The 27,926-nt window shown below is 40.3% G+C and overlaps 1 protein-coding gene across 12 annotated transcripts in view; it reads left to right on the plus strand.

The window, feature by feature from the left end:
* LRGUK (leucine rich repeats and guanylate kinase domain containing) overlaps positions 1 to 27,926 on the plus strand; it is a 149,346-nt gene that overhangs the window by 70,272 nt on the left and 51,148 nt on the right. For 4 of the 12 annotated variants that reach the window (XM_024446659.2, NM_144648.3, XM_047419890.1 and 1 more), the window contains 3 exons: positions 1,609 to 1,810; positions 3,870 to 3,965; positions 24,168 to 24,307. In XM_024446659.2, the coding sequence (XP_024302427.1) occupies positions 1,609 to 1,810; positions 3,870 to 3,965; positions 24,168 to 24,307 (438 nt within the window). Of the gene's footprint in view, positions 1 to 1,608; positions 1,811 to 3,869; positions 3,966 to 5,986; positions 6,741 to 11,092; positions 15,052 to 24,167; positions 24,308 to 24,421; positions 25,000 to 27,926 lie in introns of those variants that run through there. The other 8 variants (NM_001365700.3, XM_024446658.2, NM_001365701.3 and 5 more) reach the window with 6 other exon arrangements.

Consider the following 27,926-nt stretch of genomic DNA (forward strand, 5'->3'; position numbering starts at 1 on the left):
GGGCTGTGCTGCCATTTAACTGCAGTTGCTCACTGGGTGTAATATTTTCATACTTCTGGCAATTTAGACCTGTAGATGTCAGGAGATTTTTCTCTCTACCCTGATACCCTGTCTTCCCCCAACAATGATCTATAATTAGAGTATATAGAAGCTTCTCCAAAATTAAGATCCAGAGTAAAACTATGAATTTCCCACTCATTTATTTTTTAAAAATATAGCTTTATTACATACTTGGAACCTTCAAAAATAGTTGATTGTTTTTTCAAGATCCTTTAACTGAGCAGTATGACACTTTTGGAATTAAAAAAAAAGCAATTATAAAACTAATTCAATTAGATCAAATATACAGAAAACAAAACCTAGGCAAATCAGGTACATAATCCTTCGATGTCAACTCTGAATCTTTCTTTTTTCCTTTGTGACTTCACACAGTAGGAGACTGCAATTCCCTTTTGGCTCTTTGTGTTGGTATAAGTGTTTCTTAGCTTACACATTTCTTCCAGCTCTTTAACTTTCCTGACGTAGAATATTTCCAATCTTACTTCTCAGTGATTAATTGGTTTTGTATCTTTAAGGAATGTTTTCTTTGTTTCTATAATAACTAGCAAAAATAAAAGGTCTTTTCTAAAAAATTTCTTCATTTGACAAGGCAGAAACAAAAATTAATGCATTTTTGAGTCCAGAAACTCTCCATCTTTTGTGTCTATCTTTCACTGTTTTTCTCCCTGGGAGTTCACTCTTCCTCATTTCCAGGAGGTTGAGTCTATAATCCATGCTTGATTCCCCTGATTCTCCCCAGCTGAAGTATTTTTCCAGACTGCCCTGGTCATTGACTGTTTCAGAAATTGTTTTGGAAATAGCCTGTATTTCTTCCAACTGAATTTTTAAAACAAAGACTTTGAACATTGAGTGAAACTGATTGAGATGGACGGGACTTTAGAGTCCATTTGGAATGGCTCTTTCATTTCACCCGTGAGGAAACTGATAGCCAGAGAACTTGAAGGATTTGTGCGGCGTCTACAGGAGCCAGAGAGCTGCAGTTGTGACCAAGCCCTCCAGACTCACAGACCAGTCAGTTCCTTACACAGTTCCATGCTGTGATCTCCTGGTCTGCAGGTGACGAGGAGCTTGGCCTTCCCAACCAGGGTGCTGATTTAGGTGCAGAAAGGGTCCCAAGATGATGACAAAGGGGTCACAGAAGAGCCTTTTCTCCCTGGTAAGATCTCTATCTCCTGGTGCTCCACAGAACCCTTTTGAAATATAGAATTGAAATTACCTTTCTGTAATAAAGTTGCAATATTGCTATGAATGTACCTATTTTATATCCAGCAATTTTCTAACAGTCATATTCATTAGAATGATTAATTAAAGGAAAGCCAGGTGGAGTGAATTGTAATATTTCCAATGACAATTTAAAACTTGATGAAGAGAGAAATGTAATCCAATCTTGAGATATTTATAGAAAAATAGTAGCTAACTATACAGATGAAATAAATTCTTCAATATATTAATAATACTACTTCTTATACCCATGTTGTCAGATGGCTCCAAAATGATTTCTAAATCATGTATCTGTTTCCAATTTATTATCTTCCTTTTAATGCACAGGGTGTAAGAAGTTTGAAATATTCCTATTTTGAGCCTCGTTATATCCTGGTGGTGCCCATGAACAAGGAAAAATATGAGGGATATTTGCGGAGAAAAGGATTATTCAGTCGTGCAGAAATTGAATTTGCTGTCTCCAGAGTGGACCTTTATATTAAAATTAATCAGAATTTTCCGGGATATTTTGATGAGGTAATCAATGCAGGTTGGTAATTTTCAGCAAAGTTTTGTTTTTGAAATGTAAGATTACTGAATTAAAAGTTTGTTTCATGGGGATAAAATTCTTGGGTAAAAGCTATTTTTCTTGTAACGGTGAATCACAAAGAGCTGCGAAAAGGGGTAAGAATCCAAGAGGTCTAATCTTCCACTGTTTTAATGAGAGCATTGTCTCAATTATTTCTTAAGATTGTAGCTAATAAGATTTGGTGTAAAATGAGCCTGAACTAAGTTCATTTTTTAGGGGACATTGTGAGAACAAAGTTAAATTATATATAATTTGAAATACACATTTAAATTTCTAGAAAGGCATATGAAACTCAGGTAATTTGATTATAATCTACACGTAGGTTAAAAACCCAACTACTCAAAATATTATAACTTAAAAATGTATGTGTAAAATAAACATTTTCAGAAACTAGCTTAGAAATGACCATTTAATTTAAAGCAATAGTTCATGGGAGAATTTATCAAAATATGAAAATTTCTATATATATATGTACATATTTTTACACATATAAAATTTCTATAGATATATTCTAGAAACTTTTATATATATATATATATATATATATATATATATATATATATATATATGTATAATTTTTTTTTTTGAGATAGAGAGTCTCGCTCTGTCACCCAGGCTGGAGTGCAGTGGCGTGATCTTGGTTCACTACAACCTCTTCCTCCGCCTCCCAGGTTCAAGCAATAGATCTGCCTCAACTTCCTGTATAGCTGGGATTACAGGTGCCCGCCACCACGCCCAGCTAATTTTTGCATTTTTAGTAGAGACAGGGTTTAACCATGTTGTCCAGGCTGGTCTCAAACTCTTGACCTCAAGCAATCCACCCTCCTCAGCCTCCCAAAGTGCTGGGATTACAGGCGTGAGCCACCGCACCTGGCAAATTTCTATATATTTTTAAAGTGCACTATGTTACACAGTCATAAAAAGGAATGAGAAAATTCTCTGTGTCTAGATAGGGAAATATCTTCAAGACATACAGTTACTGAAAAAGACAGGTTTACAATATAGTATGCCATAATTTATGTAAAAAAATTGTGCAATTGTATTTTCTTGTGCTACATAAAAAAGTTCTCTGGCAGAATCCTCAAAAAAACTAATAACACTGATTACCTCTTAGGGGGAAGGGAAACTAGATGAACTAGATGGACAGGGGACATTAGTTGAACCATATGAAATTGTTGATATTCAACTATTTTGACCTATGAAAACAGCAATGTCATATGGTTCAAATTATTAATAATAGTTTTTGGTCTCTGAAACATGTTAAAGTATTACACAGTTGAATTTGTTTTCTATTCCTGCATAGAAATTATCACACTTAGTGTCTTAAAGCAACACCCATTTATTAATTCACAGTTTCGTAGATTAGAAGTCTGGTACAGCATAGGTGGATTTTCTGCTCAGGGTATCAGGAAGCTGAGGGCTCATCTGAAGGCTCTGGGGATAAGTCCCCAAAGCTCATTCTTGTTGGCAGGATGGAGTTTCTTTTGGTTGTAGAACTGAGGTCCCAGTTTCCCTGTGGGCTGTCTGCCAAGAATTATCCTCAGTTTCTGGAGGTTGCTCTCAGGTGTCATCCACGTGGCCCCACCATCTTCAAGCCAGCACCAGCACATCGAATCCTCCTTGTGATCTGAGTCTCTGACTTCTTTTTCTGCCAACAGCTGGAGAAAACTCTCCTTTTATGTGGCTCATGTGATTAGGGTGGGCCTGCCTGGATAATCTCCCTTTTGATTAACCCAAAGTCAACCCGTTAATAACCTTAACCACATCCGCAAAAATCCCTTTTGCTGAATGTCACACAATCGTGGAGGTGGTATCTCATTGCCTTCACAGGTTCTGCCCACACTTAAGGGGAGGAGATTGATTATACAAAGGTGATGTGTCCTTAGGGTCATCTTAGAATTCTGCCTACCATAATATATATAAAATTAAATGCAGTAAACAAATCATTACCACCGATAGTTGAACATCAACTGTATTGGATGTGATCCTGTTGCTTTAAAATGTACTCTCTTTGCTGCAGATGATCTGGATGTTGCCTACCAAAAACTGAGTCAGCTCATTAGAGAATACCTTGGATTGACTGAGGAACCTGCCAAGAGTTTGGCTACAACTGCAGGTACTATTCTATCATTTTTGTGCCAGGATTTTTTTTTTTTTCATGGAAAGGAAAACAAATCTGAGTTGCTATTTGGGTACTCATCACTTGGGCTAAAGCTGGTTCTCTTTTATTCCTGTACTTCTTCTGGGGCAATTGTCCCCAAAACAAGCAGCATGAGTCAGCTTTCTGGACCTGTAACTCTGCTTATCTCCATGGTCATGATGGACCTCCAGGTACTGCCCTTCAGGAACAGGCTAGGCAGTGCCTTGGCGGAGGTAATAGATAAGGGTTAACCTCATGGTTCAGAACTCAGCCTTCCAGAGGTTTCATTCCTTAGAGAGCTGAGATGTTGTTCTACTTGTCGAGTTTGTATTTAGTCTGAGAGTTTTCTTTCCCCTTTTCTTTGCGTTACCCGAGTCCTCAAAATACTGTGCTGCGGAATACAGTGGCAAGAGCCCTAGTCATAGGATCAATGTTCCTGATCCTAGCCCTGTGCTCTCTTGGGTGAGCTCCTTCGCTGTTCGGAGCTTCAGTTTACTGTTCTGCTACATGGACCTAATGCTCCTTATCTAATGCTCCTCATCACCACATGGATGGTGAGCAGCACATGATGTAGTATATGTAAGAGTGCATTCCCTTGGAATCCAGGAACTCTAAAGCCCTAAGTTAGAATTTTGGTACATGAATTTTGAGATGTATTTAAAAGTCTCCCTTTAATCCACCTCACAACTATTAGGATGGCTACTATAAAAACAAAATTAAAAAAAAAAACAGAAATTAACAGGTGTTGGCAAGGATGTGGAGAAATTGGAACCCTTGTGTGCTATTGGCAGGAGTGTAAAATGGTATTGCTCCTGTGGGAAACAGTATGGAGGTTCCTCAAAAAATTAGCAATAGAACTGTCCTATCATCCAGCAATCCCACTTCTGATCTACCTCCAAAAGAATTGAAGGCAGGATCTCAAAAAGAGAGCTGCACACCCATGTTTTTAGCAGCACTATTCACAATAGCCAAAAGGTGGAAGGAACCCATAAAATAGAATTTTATTTGACCTTAAAAAAGGAAGGAAATTCTGGCACATGCTACACATAGATGAACCTTGAAGACATTGTGCCAAATGAAATGAGCCAGTCACAAAAGGACAGCTATTGTATGATTCCACTACATGAGGTATCTAGAGTAGTCAATTCATAGAGCCAGAAAGTAGAACGGTAGTTGCCAGAGGCTAGGGAATGGGAGTGGTTTAATGGGTACAGTGTCAGTTTGAGAAGATGAAAAGAGTTCTGAGGATAGATGATAGTGACGGTGGCACAGTGTGAATATACTTCATGCCACTGAACTGTGTACTTAAAAATGGTTAAGATGGCCGGGCGTGGTGGCTCATGCCTCTAATCCCAGCACTTTGGGAGGCCGAGGTGGGCAGATCACGAGGTCAGGAGATAGAGATCATCCTGGCCAACATGGTGAAACCCTGTCTCTACTAAAAATACAAAAATTAGCCAGGCGTGGTGGCATGTGCCTGTAATCCCAACTACTCAGGAGGCTGAGGCAGGAGAATTGCTTGAATCAGAGAGTAGGAGGTTGCAGCAAGCCAAGATTGCACCACTGCACTCTAGCCTAGTGTCAGAGCAAAACTCCATCTCAAAAAAAAAAATGGTTAAGATAGTCAATGTTGTGTTATGTGTATTTTGCCACCATAGTAAGTTTTAAAACTTTCCCTTGATGGACTGAACCCCATTCACACACTGCATATTGTGAAATGTTAACCTGAGACCCTGGCTGCTTTGCAAGTATGTTCAGCTTTGTGTTTTAGCGGTTGTGACTTTTTGCCCAAATAGGATTTTGTTTACCAGGTTGCATCCTGGCAGACTGAGGCAGGGCAGGTCATGATTTTGCCAGACTTCAAACCAATGCTGTTTTGTAATTTTGCACACTTTTCCCAGGTTGAGGGCCCCTGGTATTTTGGAATGAGGTCAACGTGAAACTGGTAAAAATCAACAGATAATGGCTGAGAATTTCCTTCTCCATATGTCTTATAGGAGATGAAGTGACCAGGGTATGACCTGCTGACTGGAATGTTCCTGGAGAAAGTTTGACCTGTCTTAAAATAGGAATGGAGGACTGGAGGACTGTGCTCAGTCTACAAAGTGGGGATTGGGGAACATTAGATTGGGAGCATGTCAGTGTATGTATCCAGCCCTGCTCAGAATCTCTGCACTGGGCGTCGGTTCTTTAGAAAGCCATCTCTATGGAGAAGGGCTGTGAGTGTATCTAATGAGGCTTCTGTAGCTCAGTAGAAGTTTCTCTTGAGAAAATCTGGCTCCCCTTGCCTTAATTCTTTGCTACCCAAGCAACCTTCTGATCTTTAATTTGGTCCCATCGGGTGGACCTGCTCCTGTCGGGGCTGTACCCTACGTTACCCACCCTGCCCTGATCCCTGAGCCAGGCTTGTCTCCATTGTAAATTAATTAATTGGTGTACTGGCTTTTAAATCAGCCTCTTGTGGGTTTGGATAAACATGAATCAGTCCCCTGAGCCTGACCAGCTCTGAGTAACTGAGAACAGTGTGTTTCTCAATCTGAGGTTGCCACTGACTGGGGGGGCTTGAACAAGACTTTGCCTCAACAGCCAGTGAGAGTCCGTCTCTGTATCTTTTCTTATTCTACAACTATCAAGAACACTGGCTATTGGGTGCAGTTGCCATTTGGTAAATTAATAGACCAGATAATGTGTGCATAGAAAAATAGACTTTGATTCTAACGGGTATAATAAAATTTTATTTATTTGGACTAATGAGGTTAGGCTTGGCTGATTTAATGAAAAGCATGAATTACTGAATTTGTAAAAATGTTTTAGCTTTCAGTTACATTTTATAACTGAAACTGAGCCATCTAGTTACTGACTAATAGAATTCCAACTGTAAAAGGTAGGTAGGCAGATTTGTAATTAATGGATCAAATCACTAGCCTCAAGGCCCCTTTGTTTTTTTGGCATGTTTAGTATTTTGAAAAACAATGTGTTTTCTGAAGCCAACCACTTTATCTTATCTAGACAATTAATTTGCTGAGGAAGTTACTTTTTCTACTTGTGGGTTTAAGAATAAACTTGCACATTGTAGAGGCCAGACATTATTCAAGTGAGTATCTAAAAAGTTCTAAGGAACATGGTCCTTATTAACACACATTTAATGGTGTCTCTAGTGGGACAAGAAGTAGAGCCAGTGTTCTTCCTGAGTCTCAGGGCTGTGAAGAAGGTGCCAAGGAATGGGGACCAGATGTTTACAGGTTCAGTGCACAAGAGTGGAGCCAACCATAGTTACCTTAAAACAAGTGTCAGTGTGTCCAGAGTTGGTTCCTGCCAGTGGGTTCGTGGTCTTGCTGACTTCAAGAATGGAGCCGTGGACCTTCGTGGTGAGTGTTACAGCCCTTAAAGATGGCAAGGACCCAAAGAGTAAGTGGTAGCAAGGTTTAGTGTTAACAGCGAAAGGACAAAGTGTCCACAGCATGGAAGGGGACCTGAGTGGGTTGCCGCTGCTGGCGGGGGTGGCCAGCGTTTATTCCCTTATTTGTCCAGGGAATGGACATGTTCCATTTGTGTCCTATCAGAGTGCCCTTTTTTCAATCCTCCCTGAGATTGGCTACTTTTAGAATCCTGCTGATTGGTGCGTTTTACAGAGCGCTGATTGGTGCATTTTACAAACCTCTTGTAAGACAGGAAAGTTCCTGATTGGTGCGTTTTACAATCCTCTTGTAAGACAGGAAAGTTCCCCAAGTCCCCACTCGACCCAGGAAGTCCAGCTGGCCTCACCTCTCATCAGCACTCCCCAGGAAGGGACCCAGAGTCCCAGCAGAGTCACCATCATGTGCCCAGCTGGTGCTTCACCTCATTGCTCCTGCTCTGAGCTGGGTCACTCTGATTTTAAGTTCTATAATTTAGATATATGTGTATAAACACATTACTCACATAAATGGGACCTCTAGAAATAAAAAACAATAGTTTTAGTATAATGAATTTTTTAAAAAATAATTGAGCTGTCAAAAGGAAGAAATTGAAATAAAAAATATTTATGATTCTGTGAAAGACAGCTTTGTCTGCGCAATTAGGAAACTGGACTGGAAATATGAAGCCTTGGTTTTCTATTCTAAATCTAACCAATAACCATTAACTTGATTCGAGAAGTAATTTTGAGCTCCCATTTCTTAAAATAAAAACCTATACATAATGTCATGGTGCACTATTAGAATCCGGCTGTCTAGAGCTGAGGTTTTTCCCAATTGGATTAGGCATCAGTACAAACAGAAATCTTATGACCAACAGCATTGTTTTTCTTAAAGTGGTAATCCTGTATCAATGCAAACAGAAAAGTATTCCCAGATATCTGAAGTAGTAATACATAACTTGATCTTTTGTAATTTTATGTTGCTAATTTATAACTAAGAGTACAAGCTGAATTTCTACTCTTAACAATGAGAGTGGAACAGAGTGATAAAAGGAAGCGCAAGGTTTATCAGTTCTGAGTACAGCATCTTTCAGCCTGGACCCAGAAATATAAACTTTCACTAATGGGTGGATTAATTGAATTTTCACTTAATGCATGTATAAAATACTAACTTTAGGTACACAGTGATTATAAACCCTGAAATCTTCAGATATCCCCTTAATTTAAAATACATATCAGCCAGGTGCGGTGGCTTACGCCTGTAATCCCAGCACTTTGGAAGCCCGAGGAGGGCAGATCACGAGGTCAGGAGGTCGAGACCATCCTGGCCAACATGGAGAAATCCCGTCTCTACTAAAAATACAAAAATTAGCTGGGCGTGGTGGTGCGTGCCTGTAATCCCGGCTACTCGGGAGGCTGAGGCAGGAGAATCGCTTGAACCAGGGAGTCAGAAGTTGCAATGAGCTAATATTGTAGCACTGCACTCCAGCCTGGTGACAGAGTGAGACTCCATCTCAAAATAAATAAATAAATACATATATATATATAATATATGTATGTGTATATATATATGTGTGTATGTGTGTGTGTGTATATATATATAGAATTGTCTTATTTTCCCTATTGTAATGTGGATAACATTTATTTCTAATACCCGAAGGCTTAAAAAGCACAAGTAAACAAAATAGTTTCTACAAAATAAGGTAAAAACTATATTCACAACTCAGTATTAAGGGATGTCTTTCCTTCCATTTGTCTCTAAACAACCTACTTCTGGGATAGTCAATGCTTCCAGCAAAGCTTTTAGAAAGCTGTACCAACTATCACCCTGAGTTCTTGCTATATAGATCATAAAATAAAATTGTATTTGCAAATCATTAATCTGACTAATGGTAGAAAGAAATGATGATGGTTATGATAAGTCAGACAGAGGAGAACTGAGCAGTTGACTAGTCCGTAAAGTTTTCCTTTATCTTTAATAAAAGGCCTGGTATGATTTGCCAAGTTATGTCAATTGTTAAATTGTAAAAGTGGGGAACACATCCTTATATATCTGATTACAGAAAACCAAGAGAGATTAAGGAGCAAAAGAAGCTTTAGCACAGGATTTCATTGTTCTTATATTTTTCCATCTTTTAAAATTAATTTTATATTTTGGTTAAAAAGCATACCTTAACATAAAATTTGCCGTTTTAACCATTGTAAGTATACAATTCAATGGTACTAATTACATTTACAATGTTGTATAACCATCATCACTACCTATTTCCAAAATTTGTCATTACCCCAAACAGAAACTCTATACCCATTAATCTATTACTCCCCTCAACTCCTGGTAACCTCGAATCTACTTTCTTTTCTCTATGAGTTTGCCTACTCTCGATATTTTCACAGTTTTATTTTTCAATTTAACCTTGTTTCTTGTCTAAGCTAGTATTTCAGTTTATAACAGTTATAAACTAGGGAGTTCCAAATGATGAACAGGACACCCCCTCAGAAACTGCACCAAGAGGGAAGCCTTTCTTTGTTCCCACCTGTCCCGCCCTCTCCCTAGAGAACACCGGTTTGATGGGATGCAAAGGGTGCGTGTCCAGACCAGGGGCTCAGTGAGAACCCAGCAGTGCAAGCTCATCCTGCGTCAGTGGAGGGGATCGGGGGCTGGGAGCCTGGTTTGCCTCTGGGGAATGGATCACTCCAAGGTCACCTCAGAGGTCTGATTTGGGTTGGAGTCGCTGAGTATCAGATCTCCCCCAAAGTGAGCTGAGACTAGCTTCTTCAAGGCTGTTCCAGTCTGGTGTGCCACCTCTGACTGCTCCACATTTCAGAGCTATGCCCTTAGGACTGGGGTAAGATGGTATTTGGGCCCCCAGAATCCGTCTAGTGAACAAGCGCTCACTGAACAAGTGCCTGCTGGATGATGGCGTCTGTGAGACTGTCCCAGAGATCAGTCACTCTGAGAACTTGCCATCAACACCAAGTTGACACCTCTGTGTAACACCAGCATTGCTAGTGGCCTCTGAGAGCCATTTTTGAAGGCAAGGTAGATGTGGAAGCCCAAGAGGAGGCCTGGGGATGTGAGTGCGGGAATAGCAGCCTGGATGGGGGTCCTCAGGAGCAGCTGTTCTGAGCCATGGTGCCTTGTGATTCTGTCCGGCCGATTCTTTCCTTCCTTCTTACATTCATCACCCATTTCCTCAGTTCCTGCCCCTTTGCCAGGTATTGGTGAACAGACATAACTCTTCACAGAGCTCACGGCTTATATAAGAGGGCTGCCGTTAAATAAGGAAACAAACAAATGGGATTTCATCTGGCTTGGATGTCCATCCTCTAGTTTCTACCATCAAAAACAGCATTGATCTCTAAGTTGGTAAAAATTTAAAGTCTCATTCACTTGGAAAATGTCTCACCACCCACAAATCTGGATGTAAATTTTGGTTCTATGAATAAGAACCAGACATAAACCTCTTATGTTTATTCATTGAAGTTTATGTTTTCAGTTGACTAAAATTGTTCTAAGTTCCACTAAATGAGAGAATTATAGACACTTAGTATCTCCAAGGAGAAGGGAAGGTTAAGTTCTCCTATATGTGTAATTTTATTCCTTTCAAGGGCCTATGTGCATCTAACAGGGGAAAGATGTTTTTCTTATTAATTTCTAAGCAGTTAGTTAACTTCTGTTTATAGTTAATTTCTTTTTATATTAAAGCAGGAGCTCCCGCTAGCAAGAAGACTGTCTCTGGGGTGCCAGCACACCTGGTTCCATCTCCCAGGTGCTTGGCGAAACTGCAAGCAGATGGCCAGATGACAGAGCATCTCTCTGGAATGCAAATTCATGCCAAGGACCTAGAAAATCAGAGCGTAACTCCTGCCCAGAACCAAGAGCTGGCTCAGGATGGAGAAACCCATCAAAAAGAGCTTTCTCCTGACAGCCATCTCAATCCTGAGCTCCCTCAACACCTCAGTTCATCAGCACTGGGTCTTCCTCAGCAGGCCCAGGACCTATCCCTAAACCCAACGGAAGAGGATGTCCAACAATCAGATCTTCCCCTAAAACAAATAGCCACTGAGACAGATGTCCCTGAGGTGGAAGCCAGTGAGGTTGGGCAGTCTCCCATCACCCCGACCCTGGTGCCTCCTGTGCACCCTTCCCCTCCCTCGTCCCGCAGCCCTCAGCCAGGCCAGGACAAGGAGTCAGGGGAGGCCCAGGTAACCCCTACTGGCCCTCCTCTGTCTGAACCTCTACAGGGACCTGGCCCCACTCCCCTCAGCCCTCAGAGAATTCAGGATGAGGAAATTGAGTCAGACAAACTTCCACCCAGCAGTTCCCACCATGATCCTCCAAAAGATTCTTCCCACACTGACTTGGTGCAGAAACTTGCTGGCGATTCTCAGCAAGCTCTGAAGGAGGAAACCTCCAAACCGGAAGCCATCCGAGTCAGTATCCCTCACCCAGAACTGCCACATCCCCAAGACTTAGCAACAGATACCAAGCAGCCCCAGGCCAGGGGAGCCCCGGGGACCTTGCTTCCTAGAAGCCGGCTGGCTCCCACTCGGCTGCCCCAGCCTCAGGTGCTGGCTCCCCTCCAGAGCAGGAGGCCCACACCCAAACTCCTATCGCCCAGCAGGGAAGAGGCTTTAGGAACAACCTCCCATCAAACCATGACGGTCTCTCCCAGGCTTCCACCAACCCGGGAAGCAGACACCAGTAAACTTCCTCCCATCAGCCCTCCGCACTCAAAACCACCACCAAATCTGAGCCCCCAGGCAGCCCACAGTCTTCAGCAAGTCCAGGAAGAGAAGGTCAGTGAGGTGAAACTCCCTCTTATCAGTCCCCCCAGCCAGGAGCAAGCAGAACCTCGCATCCTCAGTCCCGCCCAGGAGGAGGCGGCTCAGAAAGTGAGGCTCCCTCGCATTCCTGCTCCTCTTCCGGAGCCAGGGCTGCCCCAGAACTCGGGGACTCAGCCTGATCCAAGGCCTGCAAAGGAAAGGAAAGCTCCCCAAGCAGGCAGCTCCTCCAGGAGGAAGATTCCAGACATGCGGGCCTCACCCCACAACCAGGGGCCACTTCAGCAGACAGGGGCTAGGGAAAAAAAGCTCCCCAACCAGAAAGGGACGGCTAGAGGACTGGCACCTCTGGAAGAGGCACCACCTGGGAACCACCAGCCAGCCTTGCAGCTAGAACCCCACGATCAGCCAGCTCCCACCATGGTGCCCGACGATCCCAACCCCAGCCCTCCTCTTGTTTCTTGTCTAAGCTAGTATTTCAGTGTGTAACTGTTACAAATTAGGCCATCTGAGCAACCAGAGAAGCAAAGTCCATACACCAGAAATTCCTGAGCCGCCCCACGCCGAGCCATCACCTAAGACCCCCAATTACAAGAAGATTAAAAAAAACATAATTCCAGGAAAAGGACCCATACCAACCTCCCCACAAATGACCTGGCTTGGAATGTAGATGTGTCCAAACAAGGGCCATCTTGTAAGAGAGAGATTTTTGGAGGGTTATCTCAAGAAAATAAAACTCCCGTCAATGGTGATCAGCCAGCTCAGGAGGGCCAGCCCTCACCCGGGAGACCTCTCCAGAGGGAAAAGGCCCCTGCGGAGTCGCTACAGGATAGCTCGGCTCCTGTGGAGCATCCAGGGAGAAAGGGACAGGTTCATCGAAAGGGCAGGTCTCAGAGGAGAGAGATTGCTTCGCAATCCCCAGAGCAGGACAGTGAGCCCCCAACCCAGCAGCCTGTCAAAGACACACCAGCCCATCAGGGGAGAGGTCAGGCCAGAGAGAGCTCTGTCCAAAGGCACAATGCACTTGCTTCCAAGCAGCAAACCAAAGAGAAGCGAACCTGAAAACATGGGGCAGTGCCACAGGACAAAAGCCCCGCCACTCCCCAGAACCAGGTGTCTACTGTGGAGCAGGGCAGCTGGAAGGGAAGACTGCGCCCCAGGAGCAGTCAGAGCACCAAGGTTTAAGCCATCCCTGGAGCCACCAGCTCATTAAGGTCTGGGAACCCCGAGGCAGCACTGTCACAGAACGACCAGCTATGGCTGGGTCCTGTGAGTCTCCACACTGGCTTCCTCCTGAACCCATGGTCAGCGTAGGTGGAGGGGCTGTTCAGCACTGTCCAAACCTTGGATTCCTAGAAGGCAGCCAATCTGCACTCCTGTGCCTCTTCTGCTGTTGCCGTCACAGCCTGGAAGAGCAGTTGTTGCAGAGGGATGCAGCTCTATCAGCTGCTGCCACCAAATTGAGCCATTCTGGAAGGCTGGTGTCAGCAAGTAGCCTTTGTGTCCAGACACGAATCCAACCTGAGTTCCAACTCTGGCTGAAGCAGGGCCATATTGCCATTAAGTTTTCTTCTCTTCATAAGGAAAATTCGCTTCTAGACTTCTAGAAAATTCTCTCACCCCTCTTGCATTATCGAGGAGTTCCAAAGCAAAAAGAACTTTTGAGACAGGAAGACTTTGCTGTTCCTGGAGGTTCCAAACCTACAGTTAACTTGTGGGAATCTTCTGTAGGGAAGAAGACATATTTTGCATGCATGACTCTGTGATCAAATGCTTCAGATTTGTCTTGGCAATATGTTGCCTGAAACTTACTTTTGCTTGAAATGTATTTCAAAATGAATACCTTCCTTCTTTCTCTGAATAGAAATCTCATGTAAATTAGCTCATGCCTTTATTATGCCAAACCATCTGGTTGAATCAATTAAAAGAATTAATGGGGAGAACATTTAAGTGAATCAGTTGTTCGTTTATCTATTCATACCATCAGGATTCTTTCGCTGGCAAATGATAGGAGTCCACTCTAAGCCAGCTTCTGTGACTCTATTAGAAGGGAGTAGAAGATTTCATATGAACAAACTATGGGAAGGGCAGGGCTACAGCAAGTCTCAGAGAGACTGGGGGCCAGTTGTGGAACATAACCAGGACTCTAGTCATCTCCTGGACTCTGGTCTAGGACTCTCACCACTTCTCTTCTCTGTTTCTTTCTCCATGTTGGCTTCATTCTTTGGACTACAGATGACTCTATCAGTTTCTGCACATGGTGGGAAACATGGTTACCAGCAGCTCTCAAGCCCATATCTGATTTTACCTCTGGAAGCTCCCACTACTGTAAAGGGATTAATTTGAATGAATGTTCATTAATCCTAATCCAAAGAAAGTCTTGTTGGCCTAGCTTGGTTTAGGCACTTGTTCTTAAACCAATCTACTCTGGCAAGGACCAGGGTTACCTTCAGACATACCTATTGAACCTACTCCTATGTATGGACACTATACTCCACCCAAAAAGAGGATAATTGTGACTGAAACGGACAACTCAAGATGTGACTCTTAAAAAGCTGCAAGATATCTATTGAGCACTTACTGTGTACACAGCAGCATGCTAAACTGTATTTGGTATCTCATATTTAAAAATGTAACTGATGACTAAATGCCTGTGTAAATGTCTCTTACACAAAAGAGAGGTGTCTATGAAACTATGAATTTCAAATGTTATTTCAAGGGCAGTAGAGGAAACTGATATTTTAGAAATCCAGGATATAGAAATCCTCTTGCAAAATGAAGAGCTTATATAATGCCAGTAATTGCCCTCTGATTTATCTGATTTGTCCATGATGAAAATAATACAGTAATTGTAGAAAATATATCATTTGTTTATTTTTACTAAAAGTGTATTTATTTTTACTAAAAGTTCATTCATCCAACAAGCATTTATTGAGCACACGCTATGTGCCAGACAGTGATGGTTGCTAGATAAGGGGAAGTGATGAGGATACTTCAAGAAGCTTTGTCTTTTATCAAGGAAGACAGAGAGTTCATTATATTAATAACACCATGTGATTAGGGCAGCTGAAGGCCCCACAGCGTGTTAGGCTACATTTTACATCCTACAGACAGGAAAATCCATTTGTTAACTTTTCCAGATGTCATAAGAATACCAAGGAAGGACACTGAATTCGGCCTGGGATACAAACATTGGATCAGGAAACACTCCTAAGAGAAGGTCAGCCTTCAGCTTAGTCATCGCGGTTGCAGAATAGTCAGCAGACTGATGGAGAGGGGAAGTTTTCTTAGAAGAAGGAACCACGTACGCCTAAGCAGAGGCACGCGCAGGCATAGCATCTTCTAAGGACCCGAATGCCAGGAGAGATGCAGGTCTATATAGATCCAAAGTGCTTTTTGTGCTACACCGAAGAGCTTGGAAACTTGATCTTTAACAATGGGGAGCTGCTGAATTTGTATCTAAGAGGCATCTGTCTGGAGGGGATATAGAGGATGAATTTGAGGAGAGCAATACAGGAAGCAGGAGGAGTGGCAGGGAAGTTATTGCTGTAGTCCAGGAAAGAAGGTTAGGCCTGAAATAAGGCTGTGGGGGCAGGAATTGTCAAATTAGGTAAATATTTAGATTGCATGTGGGAGAGGGTAGATTGTGCAAGACAGGAAGAAAATTAAGATCATTACCCATTTTCTGTGAGGTGGGTGTGGGGCACTTTAGAGTTGTCCGTGTCTCATTTAGGTGAAGAATTTTCGAAATTTAAAATTGCTTTTAGAAATGTATAATTTTCCTCTTCGGGCGCCTGTTTCTGAGGCTCCTGAAGGCATTTGGGGTTGCATTTCCATTAGGGTACAAAAGGGAAGCGATAAGCCAAATTTTTTTTATCACTTGTTTGTGTTTCTGTTATTGCTTTGGTAGTATATGTTCCTAATGTCTCAGATTCAGTGGAACTGGACAATATTTTGTTTGTGGTCAGAGGAAAGGAGTGGAAAAGAGTATCAACAGGAGATTTTTAGTGCTATTATTGATTCTCTTGGTATAAGGGAAACCTCTGATTTTTACACATAGAATAACAATGTTTAAAAATTGCCATTTTCCATCTATATTTACAAGGTTCCTATCATTCCCATTTGATATGTTGCTCAGCAAGGTGATCTTTATAGGAACAAAAAAACATTGTGGCTTATAGTGACTACATTAGTAATACCATCTTTAGCTCCTTTAAAGAAAAGTGGCACCTAATATTCAAATCAATGGAGATAATATTGCCACTTGGCATGAAAGCCTTCCTCAAATATTTAAAGAGCTAAATCAGTTATTTCCAAAACTTCAAAAGATAATTGAACAAAGGGCATGATTGGGAAATTCACAGAAGAGGAAATAAAAATGGCCAATAGATATGTCAAAAAGTATTTAACCTCATTATAAGTTGAAACAGGATAGACTTTTTTTTTTTGTACTGAATTGGCAGATGAAAAACAACTTAATGCCTATTGTTGGCGAGGCTGTGGGTAAATGCACTTTCTATGTCTCAGGAGAGAAAGTAAATCGGCACAATTTTTCTGGGGCACAGTTTTACAATTTTCTGTCAAAGCCTTAACATTTTGTATATCTTCAGTCTAGTAATTCGAATCTGAGGATTATCATAAGGAACTCACTTATGGGCAAGGATGTTCATATCAGTGTTTTTTATGATAAAATCTAGAAATAATCTAGCTATCTAATGGGATTTTAGAAATAAGTTATGGTATAGCTATATGCTGGAATATTATGTTGTCATTATAATCATGTCATAGAAGAATATTTAATTAGAGGAAACTATTTATTGCGTAGTAAGTAGAAAGCAGGTTAAGGAGGTAGAGCCAGTATGGCTCTAGTTATTAGCTCTGGATTATGGATTATGCATAATTTTTATTTTCCCATCTATGCTTTTTAGTATTTTTTAAATTTTCTACAATGACCTATGTTTATTCAGAAAAAGTTATATAGAATTAAATTTAAACACACACACACACACACACACACACACACACACACACACTTTGAAGAGCTGTCATGAGAAAGCAACAGCCTTACATTCTATTTTGATTTGACATCATGAACTTTCTAAGAGTTAGAGGTGATTTGCAGAGGAACAGACTGGCTTGCTCCAGAAGTTAGATGCTGTGTTATGGGAATCTTATAGAAGGTCTTCATATGTTGGGTGATTTAGTTGGACTGGCTAAAATGTAAGGTTCATTTTATGATCTAAGATCCACTTACTGCAGCTGACTCCATTTGCTTGTTATGAGGAATCCTGTTTTATTAAATGTAGTGCTTAGAAAATTATATGTACTTAGTACTCCTTAGATATGTGGCTTTCAAAGTTTTATTGACCAAGATCCATAATTAGAAGTATACATGTTACAATATCATGACCCAGTAAACACATAAAACACCTGGCAAAAAAAAAAAAGTGTCATAAAACACCTTTACTATGGTGATAGACAACTCTGATATTTTCTATGGCGCTGAATTTCAATTTTTAAAATTCTGGTTGTGGCCTCCTAAATTGATTTCACAATTTTGTTTGCAACCTGCAGTTTGGAAAACCCTGCACTGAGTGCCCTAGAGGTTTGCTTTGATGCTGTCCTTACTTGGAGGCCTGTTACCAGACTTCCCCCCAGCTCTGGTTGCCTTCAAGTGAGGTTGGATGGGTTGACATCATTTATGCTGAATTCTTCTCTGGGACAAGGATCTGGTGTATTGGCAGTTATGTTCTTTGTCAATGTGGGGGCTCAGGATAAGATACATCCAAAATCTATATGTATACGTTTTATATAAAGCTTTTAAAAAAAAAAGGCACTTGAGAACAATCTTGATCAGCTTACTTCCTTGCCTTTTGCTCCATGACAAGCCCGAAAATCATCTTATTACCATAAAAAGATCCACCAAGTTCCACTTCAGATAATTGCACTATTTATATACTATGTAGCACAGTACGTCTGTAAATGAATTTAATTGCGTAGTCCAATTTGAAAGACATAATTCTAGAAATCACTTTTCTGTATTGACCAGGCATTCAGAGAAGAGGATAAGAAGGGCCTAACCATTTCTTTGTGTTGATGACAGATAAATGGTGTTAGAAGATCAAACCTCTAATCTTAAAACTGATTATGAGAGTGCAGTCATGATTTGCAAAAGCTGAAGACTTTTTATTACAGATTGTAACCTTAGAAATTCATTATTGCAAACAACACTAAAATTCAAAATAATTCTTGAAAATTCCATTTGCATTACAATCTAGCCATGTGACCTTGGGCAAGTTACAGAGTTCTAATGTATAAAATGGAGGTAATAATAGTACCTACCTCAGTATTTTTATGGGGATTAAATGAGTTAATATACTGAAAACCACCCAGAACAATATCTAGCACACAGTAAATGCTTCTATGAGTAGTGTTTGTTCGTATTAACATGAAAGCAGCAAAAAAATGTTTGCATTTTCCTGTTCATTGAAAGAGGATGATACTGTTCAAACTGGGTGGAAATATTTGGTAAATGAGATGGTCTTTGTGAAAATCCTTTTTTAAAAATTTGATAACCTTGATTTAATTAGGTAACTTAAAATTAGAATAATATTGGAAAGAAATTGCAGTTGAGCAAAATATTACAAAAATCAAGAGGTTCTTCTATGGGCATTCATAGGAGGCATTGCAGTTTGGAGAAGTGAGTAGGGAAACATCAATTCTGAGATTATTATGAATTTCCATGTGATACACACATAAAAGACCTGTAGTAACATCTGGCACATAGTACATGCTCAATAAATGCTATCTGTTATTTTTACTATGATTTCATTATTGATAAAATCAAGATCATTTATATTCTGGGTTTCAGATTGGTTAGATAGGAAATGCTGTCAAGTCACTTGTCCAGATAGTAGATATTTTCTTTTCTTTTTGTGGCTCAATTGAGACAAAGACCAGCTTCTACAATTACCAGATCTATATACCCTCAGTGTCCTAGGATAAAAATAGAAAAGCAAAGTGAAGAAAGACAGAGAATGTTTTTGCTGGAGAAAGTGACCAATGAAGTAACATCTTTGAAAAGGTTATTCTTGAAGGATAAGCCCTTAGCAAGCAAAGATCATGCTTAGGGTGTGGGATTGGGTGGCAATCCCATCAGAAATACAGTTATTTGAACATGTTAGTTGAAGGAAAGGAAATCTTTAGCGTATATTGAAGCTTCCTGCCAATCATTGCTACCTCTTTTCTTTCCCAAAATCTGCTATATTAATACAGATCATATATAGCAAGTTTCCACTCTTGAAATTTACCTGTTCTATGTGTTTTATCTTCTTTAAAGTGTCAAGTAACTACTTCATTAAATACTCATCCTTTTTTTTTTTTTTTTCGGAATTCTGGGCCTTATTGCTCTATGTTTTAATTGGAACATTCTTGATGCAAGGCCCAAATATTGACCCATTAGTTCACCTCCACTGAAGACATTACAATGTATGAAGTTTACTGGAAAAGAACGTTTTTGTACTTTATTTGCTCTTATGAATGTAAATGTGTATGTTTTCCTTTTTCTTGATATAGAAATTGTTTTTGTTTAAATAACTAATTATTCCTTTGATTAGACACTCAAGAATATAGCACTTCACTGTTAGTATAGTTTAATAAATGTATTCACTTTCCCATATATAACATGACTATTTACAACATTATTACTGTATTTCCTTGGACTTATGTGATAACTTTCTACTCTAAAAGTTTATTTTGCTATGGAAATTATCATGGATACTATGCAAAATTATTATTTTTCTAGTTGATATTATTCTTTTCTTAGAAGCACAGATAGACAAGACTTTTAAGATGTAATTCTGTCCTAGAAAAATAGCTTATTTTGCCACCTTTAGTTTTGAGATAGCACTTCTTAATGAACTAAACTTTTGTCTTAATTTTCCACTACAAATTATCTATCATATTAAAAGTATTTAAAATTCAATAGCAGATTATTCTGTTTTCTTTTAAGCTCTTTTTTATGACTACATATTTCAGTATCAAGACTTACAGAGATTTTAATTTTACAGGTATTTACATCATATGTATATATGCATTTAATCATTGTAGGTATGAATTATTCTTGTTATTTTTTCCTTTGTTTAAAAAAAAACCCTCACTATATGGTTTTGTTGTTGCTGTTGTTGTTTTTAGATGGAGTCTTACTCTGTCTCCCAGGCTGGAATCTAGAGTGCGGTGGCACAATCTCAGCTCACTGCAGCCTCCGCCTCCCAGGTTCAAGTGATTCTCCTGCCTCAGCCTCCCGAGTAGCTGGGATTACAGGTGCATGCTACCATGCTCAGCTAATTTTTATATTTTTAGTAGAGATGGGGTTTTGCCAATGTTGGCCAGGCTGGTCTCGAACTCCTGACCTCAAGTGAACGCCTGCCTCGGCCTCCCAAAGTGCTGGGATTACAAAGCCCCATTTGAGTGGGGAAAAAATAAGTGATTCTGAAGTTGTCTGTGCATCTCAGGACTTTTATTTAAAAATTAAAGTCTGTTTCTAAGTCATCCATTTCTAAGTGCTTTCAAAGAGAGATCAACTCTAGTGTTGATACATTTTTTTTGCAAGGTTTTATTTAAATGTCAAAAGCTCATTTTGAAAAGTAATCAGTCATATTTTTGGACAGGAGAATGACTAAATTGCCTTGCTGTATAAGAAATCTTATTAATGTAGAAACACTTGTCATTAAAATAGAGATTTTTGTTTTTCAAAATATTTATAACTTGACCCCCAAATGGTAAGTTCATCACTAATTATTGACCTGGCTACATGCCTGTGATACCAGATCATCAACATCTTCTATTTTTAACTTTCCTTTTTGCAGTAAATGGCCCTATTTAGTCTGTTTGATGATACAATGTGAAATATACATACAAATCTTTTATTCTTAGGTACATGGCCTCTACTGCTTTTGTTGTTTAGGTTGGATTTTATGCTTATTGTTTTAAAATGTTTTATACAAATATTGTTTTAATTTGTTTGATTTCAAATGAGTATGTCTAACATAAAAGATCTAAGCCATTTAGAAGTAATTTGAAACATGGTTCCAGTTGTTCCAGATACTTCATTTATATTTTCCTGCATTTGTAATGATACTAATCCATAAAATAACTTTAAAAATCTGCCTGGGATCATTAAATTCATTTATGCTTCATTGCAGGTATTTAAATAAATTTAACTAGCCTATATACTGAAGAACTTGGTTCTTTTTGTGGACTGTAAAGTAGTTTATACATATTAAAATGTTGCCTCAAGGTTGACTTTAATTTAGATAGCTTGAATAAAATCACATTAAGAAAATTTGTCACATGGTATTATAACATTGGTAATTATGGTTTTTTCCTTAAATTGGGAAGTAAGCTGTTTTGTCCATTGATGTACTAAGACATTAGACAATATATTAAGAACTCTATGAAAGTCTTTATTGTAGGAGTTCAAGTCGTTAAAGCGGCAGTATTACAATGTAGTTTAATAGTAATCTAAACACATTATCTTCACCCAAAACGTTTTGTTCCCAAGAAATCATTAAGACACTATTTTGGAATTACAGCTGCATTGTGTCATCAGATGGAACTTGACTTATTTACACCACAGTACAGGCAACTTATGTCTTAGAAAACTGGAAAAAGGAACCCGGACACAAAAACTATATTTTGAATAAAGTTTTATGTATTATGTAGGATCTATTCTATGGAAATTATTTCAGTGAATATAGCTTTTGTTTCTTTAAATTTTATCTTATTTATATGGTTCCAGTTCATCTAGTCTTTTTCCTAATGCGCTGTACTTAGAGTGACATCAACAGGACAAGGGATTTTTCCAAAAGATAAATTAGCACAGGATGCACCTCCTTTGTCTCTCTCTCTCTGTCTCTCTCTCTCTCTGTCTCTCTCTCTCTGTTTCTGCCTCAGCCACACTGAATTCTTTACTGTGATGAAGTTATATTAAGGATACATCTATGTTCTTATACCAGCCACTTTTCCTGTCTGATCTAGTTTCCCCCAGATGCTTGAATGCTGTTCTTCTTTATGCCTTTTAATATTTGTTCAAGATGTCACCACCTTAGGTGGACTTCCTCTGACCACCATGCCATCTCTCATGCTGTCCCCTCATCCAGCTTCCTGTTTCTTCATCACACTTGTCGTTACTTGATATTATTTAACGTGTTATTTGTCCGACTCCAATATTAGAATGTAATCCCCACAGGTCAAGAACTTTTTATTTACTGCTGTATCCCCAGCATCTAGAGCACCAGTCGGCACGTAGCAGGTGCTCAATAAATATGGGTCAAGTGGCTTTTATCACAGAGATTCAACAGAGAATGTTTCTGCATACAGTTGTCTCATTTTGTCACTTTGTGATTAAACACAGTTTCTTTAATATTCCTTTCTATATTGTTCTATTACCTGAAATTCTTTTGATATAGTCCTCGCCCATTTGTTGCATCTGTTCAAGCTCCCTTTCTCAAGACAGGGGCTAGGTGGAACTTTAGACTTCCTTACCATGATTAAATAGTTTTACTTGTCTGCAACAACTTTTACCTTGTGTTATTGGTTTGGGATTGCCACACAGTTTGGGAGGAGTTCAAGTTCAGATTCCAAACCAAAGTAGAGTCTGATTTCCTACAGGTGTTTCTATCGTCTGGTTAGGTAAGAATCTGTCCCCAGGCAAAGTCCCTACATCTGTGGACTGACATTTCCAGATACCCCTTTTCCAACTTGTCAACTTATCAAACAGTCCAGGTCTTCTTCTTCTTTTTTTTTTTTTCTTTTGTCGTTGTTGTTTTGAGGCAGGTCTCACTCTGTCACCCAGGCTGGAGTGCAGCCTCTACCTCCTGATCTCAAGTGATCCTCCCACCTTAGCCTGCCAATTAGTTAGGATTACAGGCACACACCACCACATCAGGCTAATTTTTGTATTTTTTTGTAGAGATGAGGTTTCACCATGTTGGCCAGGCTGGTCTCAAACTCCTGGGCTCAAGTGTTCTGCCAACCTCAGCCTCCCAAAGTGCTGAGATTACAGATGTGAGCCATTGCACCTGGCCAAGTCGGGTCTTGTGTGCCAAGCATGCAGGGGCTGTGGCTTCCCCCTCTCATACCATGTATTCAAACCTCAGCCCCTGATGCCCTGTGACCTCTTAGCATCAATTCCCACTCCTCTGACTTCGAGTCTTCACTACACTTGTAGTGCCTAGAAAATTTTCTTTCTTAGTTTCCGCCTTACTATCTATTAAAAACAAAACAAATTTATGTTATATATTAGTATTTTTTTCATCTTTGGGTGGGGGTAGCTTTCCACTTCTGCTCAGTCCATCATATTGACTGAAGGTACATGTGGATATCATTTATTTTAGCATTTTAAAAGCAATACTCCTGAAATTGTTGATGCTCCCATATAGCCAAAGCTATTTACTCCTAGCCCTCTGTGAATGAGCAGTAATAAAAATTTATACAGTATTCTTATATTCTAGGTCTCTGAACATTCTAACATCTTAAAGGAAATATTAGATATTATTTATGAATAAATTCTGTGAAACAGTGGGCTCATCATTCCATTCTATTTCAAAGCCTCTTAGCATTGCATAGTTTATTTTCCTTTTAGCCTTTTGGACTTTCATCAAATGAAAAGTCATTATAAGGGTAATTTTTCAATTAAATATCTAGAAGCCACTGTTTTTGACATGTCTTACTTCTTTTGATTTTATTTATAAGCCTGAATTGATTAAGTATTGGGTATATTCGGAGGATATATCTATTAGGTATTATAGGCTGATTTTATTATTATGAGTTATTTTATTCTAAGATATATTTTTATTTTATTTTAAAGTTGAAATGCGCACATTTTAAGTATCCAGCTTGTTATGTTTGGGCAAATAAAAATATAAAACATTTCTATCACTTCAGAAATTTCCTTTATGACTTTTATTTTAAACTTTATTTTTTTTTCCTACCAGATGTTAAGACATCCCACCTGAAACCTGAAGCGCATCCTACAAAGTATATTTCTTCGAATATGGGTGATTTCCTGCATTCTACAGACAGAAACTACCTCATTAAATTTTGGGCCAAACTTTCAGCCAAAAAAACACCAGCGGTAAGAGAGGAATAGAAGGGGTGAAGCCACAACTGAGCTCTATACAATGTCAGACAAAGAGGGGATTTAATATTTTGAGACTAATAAGTTTCCCCAAAATTATTCTCTCACTAGTGTCAGCTGAAGACAGGATTTTGACTCTTTGTACATCCCTGAGAATAGACACTGGTTCTAAAAGTAGAATATTCAATATCAGATTCTGTGAGTACCTTTCTCCTGGGCTCCCAGTGAAAATTCTGACATTCAAATCTTCTATTTTGTAAGAACAGAAAAGCACTACAAGAAAATTAATGCAGTGAAAGATGTATTTCAAGGGAAAACTTGCTTTGTTGCTAGGGTATAAATTTGAGTATTCTTGGGCTGAGCCTGAAAAGTGAGTCCACTCAAAGAGTCCGTGTTTTATAACTTAGCACTTCTTAAACCAGTCGCATCACTTAGTCCCAACTTATTTCTCTGAAAGTTTTGAGAAAGCAGCATGCACAGGAGTGTGGAATGCAAAATTGGCACTGCATTCAGATTAGGTTGTACTTGTTTTCCATCTGTAATCATTTTTATGTGATGATCTGGGAATACAAAGAGACTTAATTGCAATTGCAATTTGCTGCAGAAGCAACAGAACTTTTTGTTTTGGTTGTCAATTCCTTGTGATTCCTTAAGGCTAGCCTGTTTTTGTTTGTTTTGTTTTGTTTTTGTTTTGTTTTTTTTTTTGAGACGGAGTTTTGCTCTTGTTGCCAGGCTGGAGTGCAATGGTGTGATATCCGCTCATCGCAACCTCCGCCTCCCAGGTTCAAGCGATTCTCCTGCCTCAGCCTCCCGAGTAGCTGGGATTACAGGCATGCGCCACCATGCCTAGCTAATTTTGTATTTTCAGTAGAGATGGGGTTTTTCTTGTTGGTGAGGCTCTCCCAACCTCAGGTGATCTGCTTGCCTCGGCCTCCCAAAGTGCTGGGATTACAGGTGTGAGCCACCATGCCCCGCCAAGGATAGCCTGTTCTAAACAAATAGGTGCATCAAGTCAGAACCATTGGCAGTGTTCAGTGGTCAAAAGAATCAGACTGATTACTGATTACTTCAGGCAAAAAGTCTTAGGCTGGGGCATATACAGATATAGTATGCTATATACATTTTACTCTTACTGAGTCACAATAGTTGTTGGGTGTTCTAGGTGCAAGAAACAGTATCTCCCTGCTTCTATTTCCTGCATGTGGTAGCCCTCCCTCTCCTGGCTGGCCTCTTCCATTCACCCACAGGCTTTGCTCCCACTAGCTTGAGCACTACTCTCATGCGCCATCCAGCCCTGACTGTCCTAGGCCTCTTGGCTCTGTGCTCATTCTTCCCGGCAACTTCCTTCCATCTCTTTAATTCAAGTCGCTGAAGGCAGGAGAATCTACCCAGCCCAGCTTGACTTTTCAAGCCATGCTGTGGTGGTCATATTAGCCTGCCTGTGTGGTCACCTGTGGCAGGGCAGAAGGCACGACCTGTGGCTCAGGCTGCGGCTTCTCAGAGGCAGCAGGGGGTAGGTGGGTGCCCACTAAACATCTATAAATAAGATGAATTTGTTCCATGATACTGAGTGTAGGAAAGTCATATTTATCCAAAATCAATGAAATCTGGAATTGTTCCCATCTCACCAGGATTTCTGGGAAATCAAATGTCGTTAGAAATGGGGATCACTTCCCATATTTGGATTAAGTTCAAGAATCCCGAGAGTTACACAATCCTGGGAAATTGCAGAAGGGCCTCTAGCCTCATAACCACCATGGTTGACATGGAGATGCTTTTCATCTAAGGCACTGAATCCCATTCTGAGCCAGTGGCCCTGGTATTCTCCATATCCTACTTTTTCCTACTATTAGTAGCTTTTTTCTTTTACTTTTTTCTTTTGTAGAGACAGGGTCTTGACATGTTGCATAGGCTGGCCTTGAACGCCTGGCCCCAAGTGATCCTCTCACCTCAGCCTCCCAAAGTGCTGGAATTACAGGCATGAGTCAATGAGCCCAGCTAACTAGTAGGTTTTTTTCTTATACCTACCCCTGAGATCTTGCTATACCTGGGGTAATGGGTAGAAGTCAACAGGTAAGGCTCCCTCTGCATGAGGAACCTATCACTCTTTGTCCTTCCAGTCCTGGGAAATCCAGCTCTTTCCAGATCAGCCCACAGCTTTCTCTCCTGCCCTTGGTATTCCAGCCTTCTTGGATGGTGTGGCTTGATGCTTCTTGGACTTTCAAATACAGCATCAGTTCTTTAATGTCCCCTTGGGACATGGAAATCCAGAGTGCAAACCTTCAGACCACTAAATCCTGTCCATCTTTAATCCTTGGTGATAAGACTGCACCCTGACAATCAGAGGCAGCCCATTTCCCAGGTGGGCTGTCCTGATGCACAGCTGGATTCACACTGATAGGCAGAAGCACATGCCATTGACTTGCACCCCTCTTCCACTTAATGGGTATTCATGGTTTATTTAAACGTGTTTAGGGATCATGTCCTTTGCAGGAACGTGGAGGCCATTATCCTTAGTAAACCGATGCAGGATCAGAAAACCAAGTACCACATGTTCTTACTTATAAATGATGAGGACACATGGACACATAGAAGGGAACAACACACACTGGGGTCTATCAGAGGGTGAAGGGTGGGAGGAGGGAGAGGATCAGGAAAAATAACTAATGGGTACTAGGCTTAATAACTGGATGATGAAATAGTCTGTACAACAAACCCCCATGACACAAGTTCACCTAACAAACCTGCACATATACCCCTGAACTTAAAATAAAAGCTAAAAAAAAAATGTCCAATCTAAATATCACCTGTTAGAAAATGTTGGGGCCTAATTAAAGAGAGTGCTGGTTGGCTGGGCGTGGTGGCTCATGCCTGTAATCCCAGCACTTTGGGAGGCTGAGGTGGGCAGATCTTGAGGTCAAGAGATTGAGACCATCCTGGCCAACATGGTGAAACCCCGTCTCTACTGAAAATACAAAACATTAGTCGGGTGTAGTGGCTCGCGCTTGTGGTCCCAGCTACTCAGGAAGCTGAAGCAGGAGAATCGCTTGAACCAGGGAGGCAGAGGTTGCAGTGAGCGGAGATCTCGCCACTGCACTCCAGCCAAGGCAACAAGAGTGAAACTCCATCTCAAAAAGAAAAAAAAAAAAGTGTTGGTCAAGGGCAATAAGGTACTAAGGGCTGGGGACAGGGGAACAGAACTGGAAAAAAAAAAAAAAAAAAAAAAAACCCACTCTGTGCTCCTAACTGTGATTCAGCCGTAACATTTTAATATAAAATGAAGACAGTATGGGGAAACTGGAGAGAGGAGAGGATAAAAAGGCAGTGTGAGAGTGGAAGGGGCCACCCTGGTGATGATTGGTGGGGGAAAGGACCCAATATCCCAGGCCACCTGTTACTGGAAACAGTTTCATGAACTTTTACACCAGATTGCTCCTTGCCTGCAGTGCCCCTCCCTGAGAAACTGAGCAGCCCCCATAATCCACAGCATCTAGAACCCAGTGTGGAGCATGTGTTGTGTCCAGTGTCAGCACTGTGGCATTTACTGATCCCTGATGGTAGTAATTTGCAGAGCCCTGAGGTTCTGGTGCCTTTGCCTCTCAGTGCTAGTAGTTTA

This window comes from Homo sapiens, chromosome 7 (assembly GCF_000001405.40).
Source record: "Homo sapiens chromosome 7, GRCh38.p14 Primary Assembly".
NCBI lineage: Eukaryota > Metazoa > Chordata > Mammalia > Primates > Hominidae > Homo > Homo sapiens.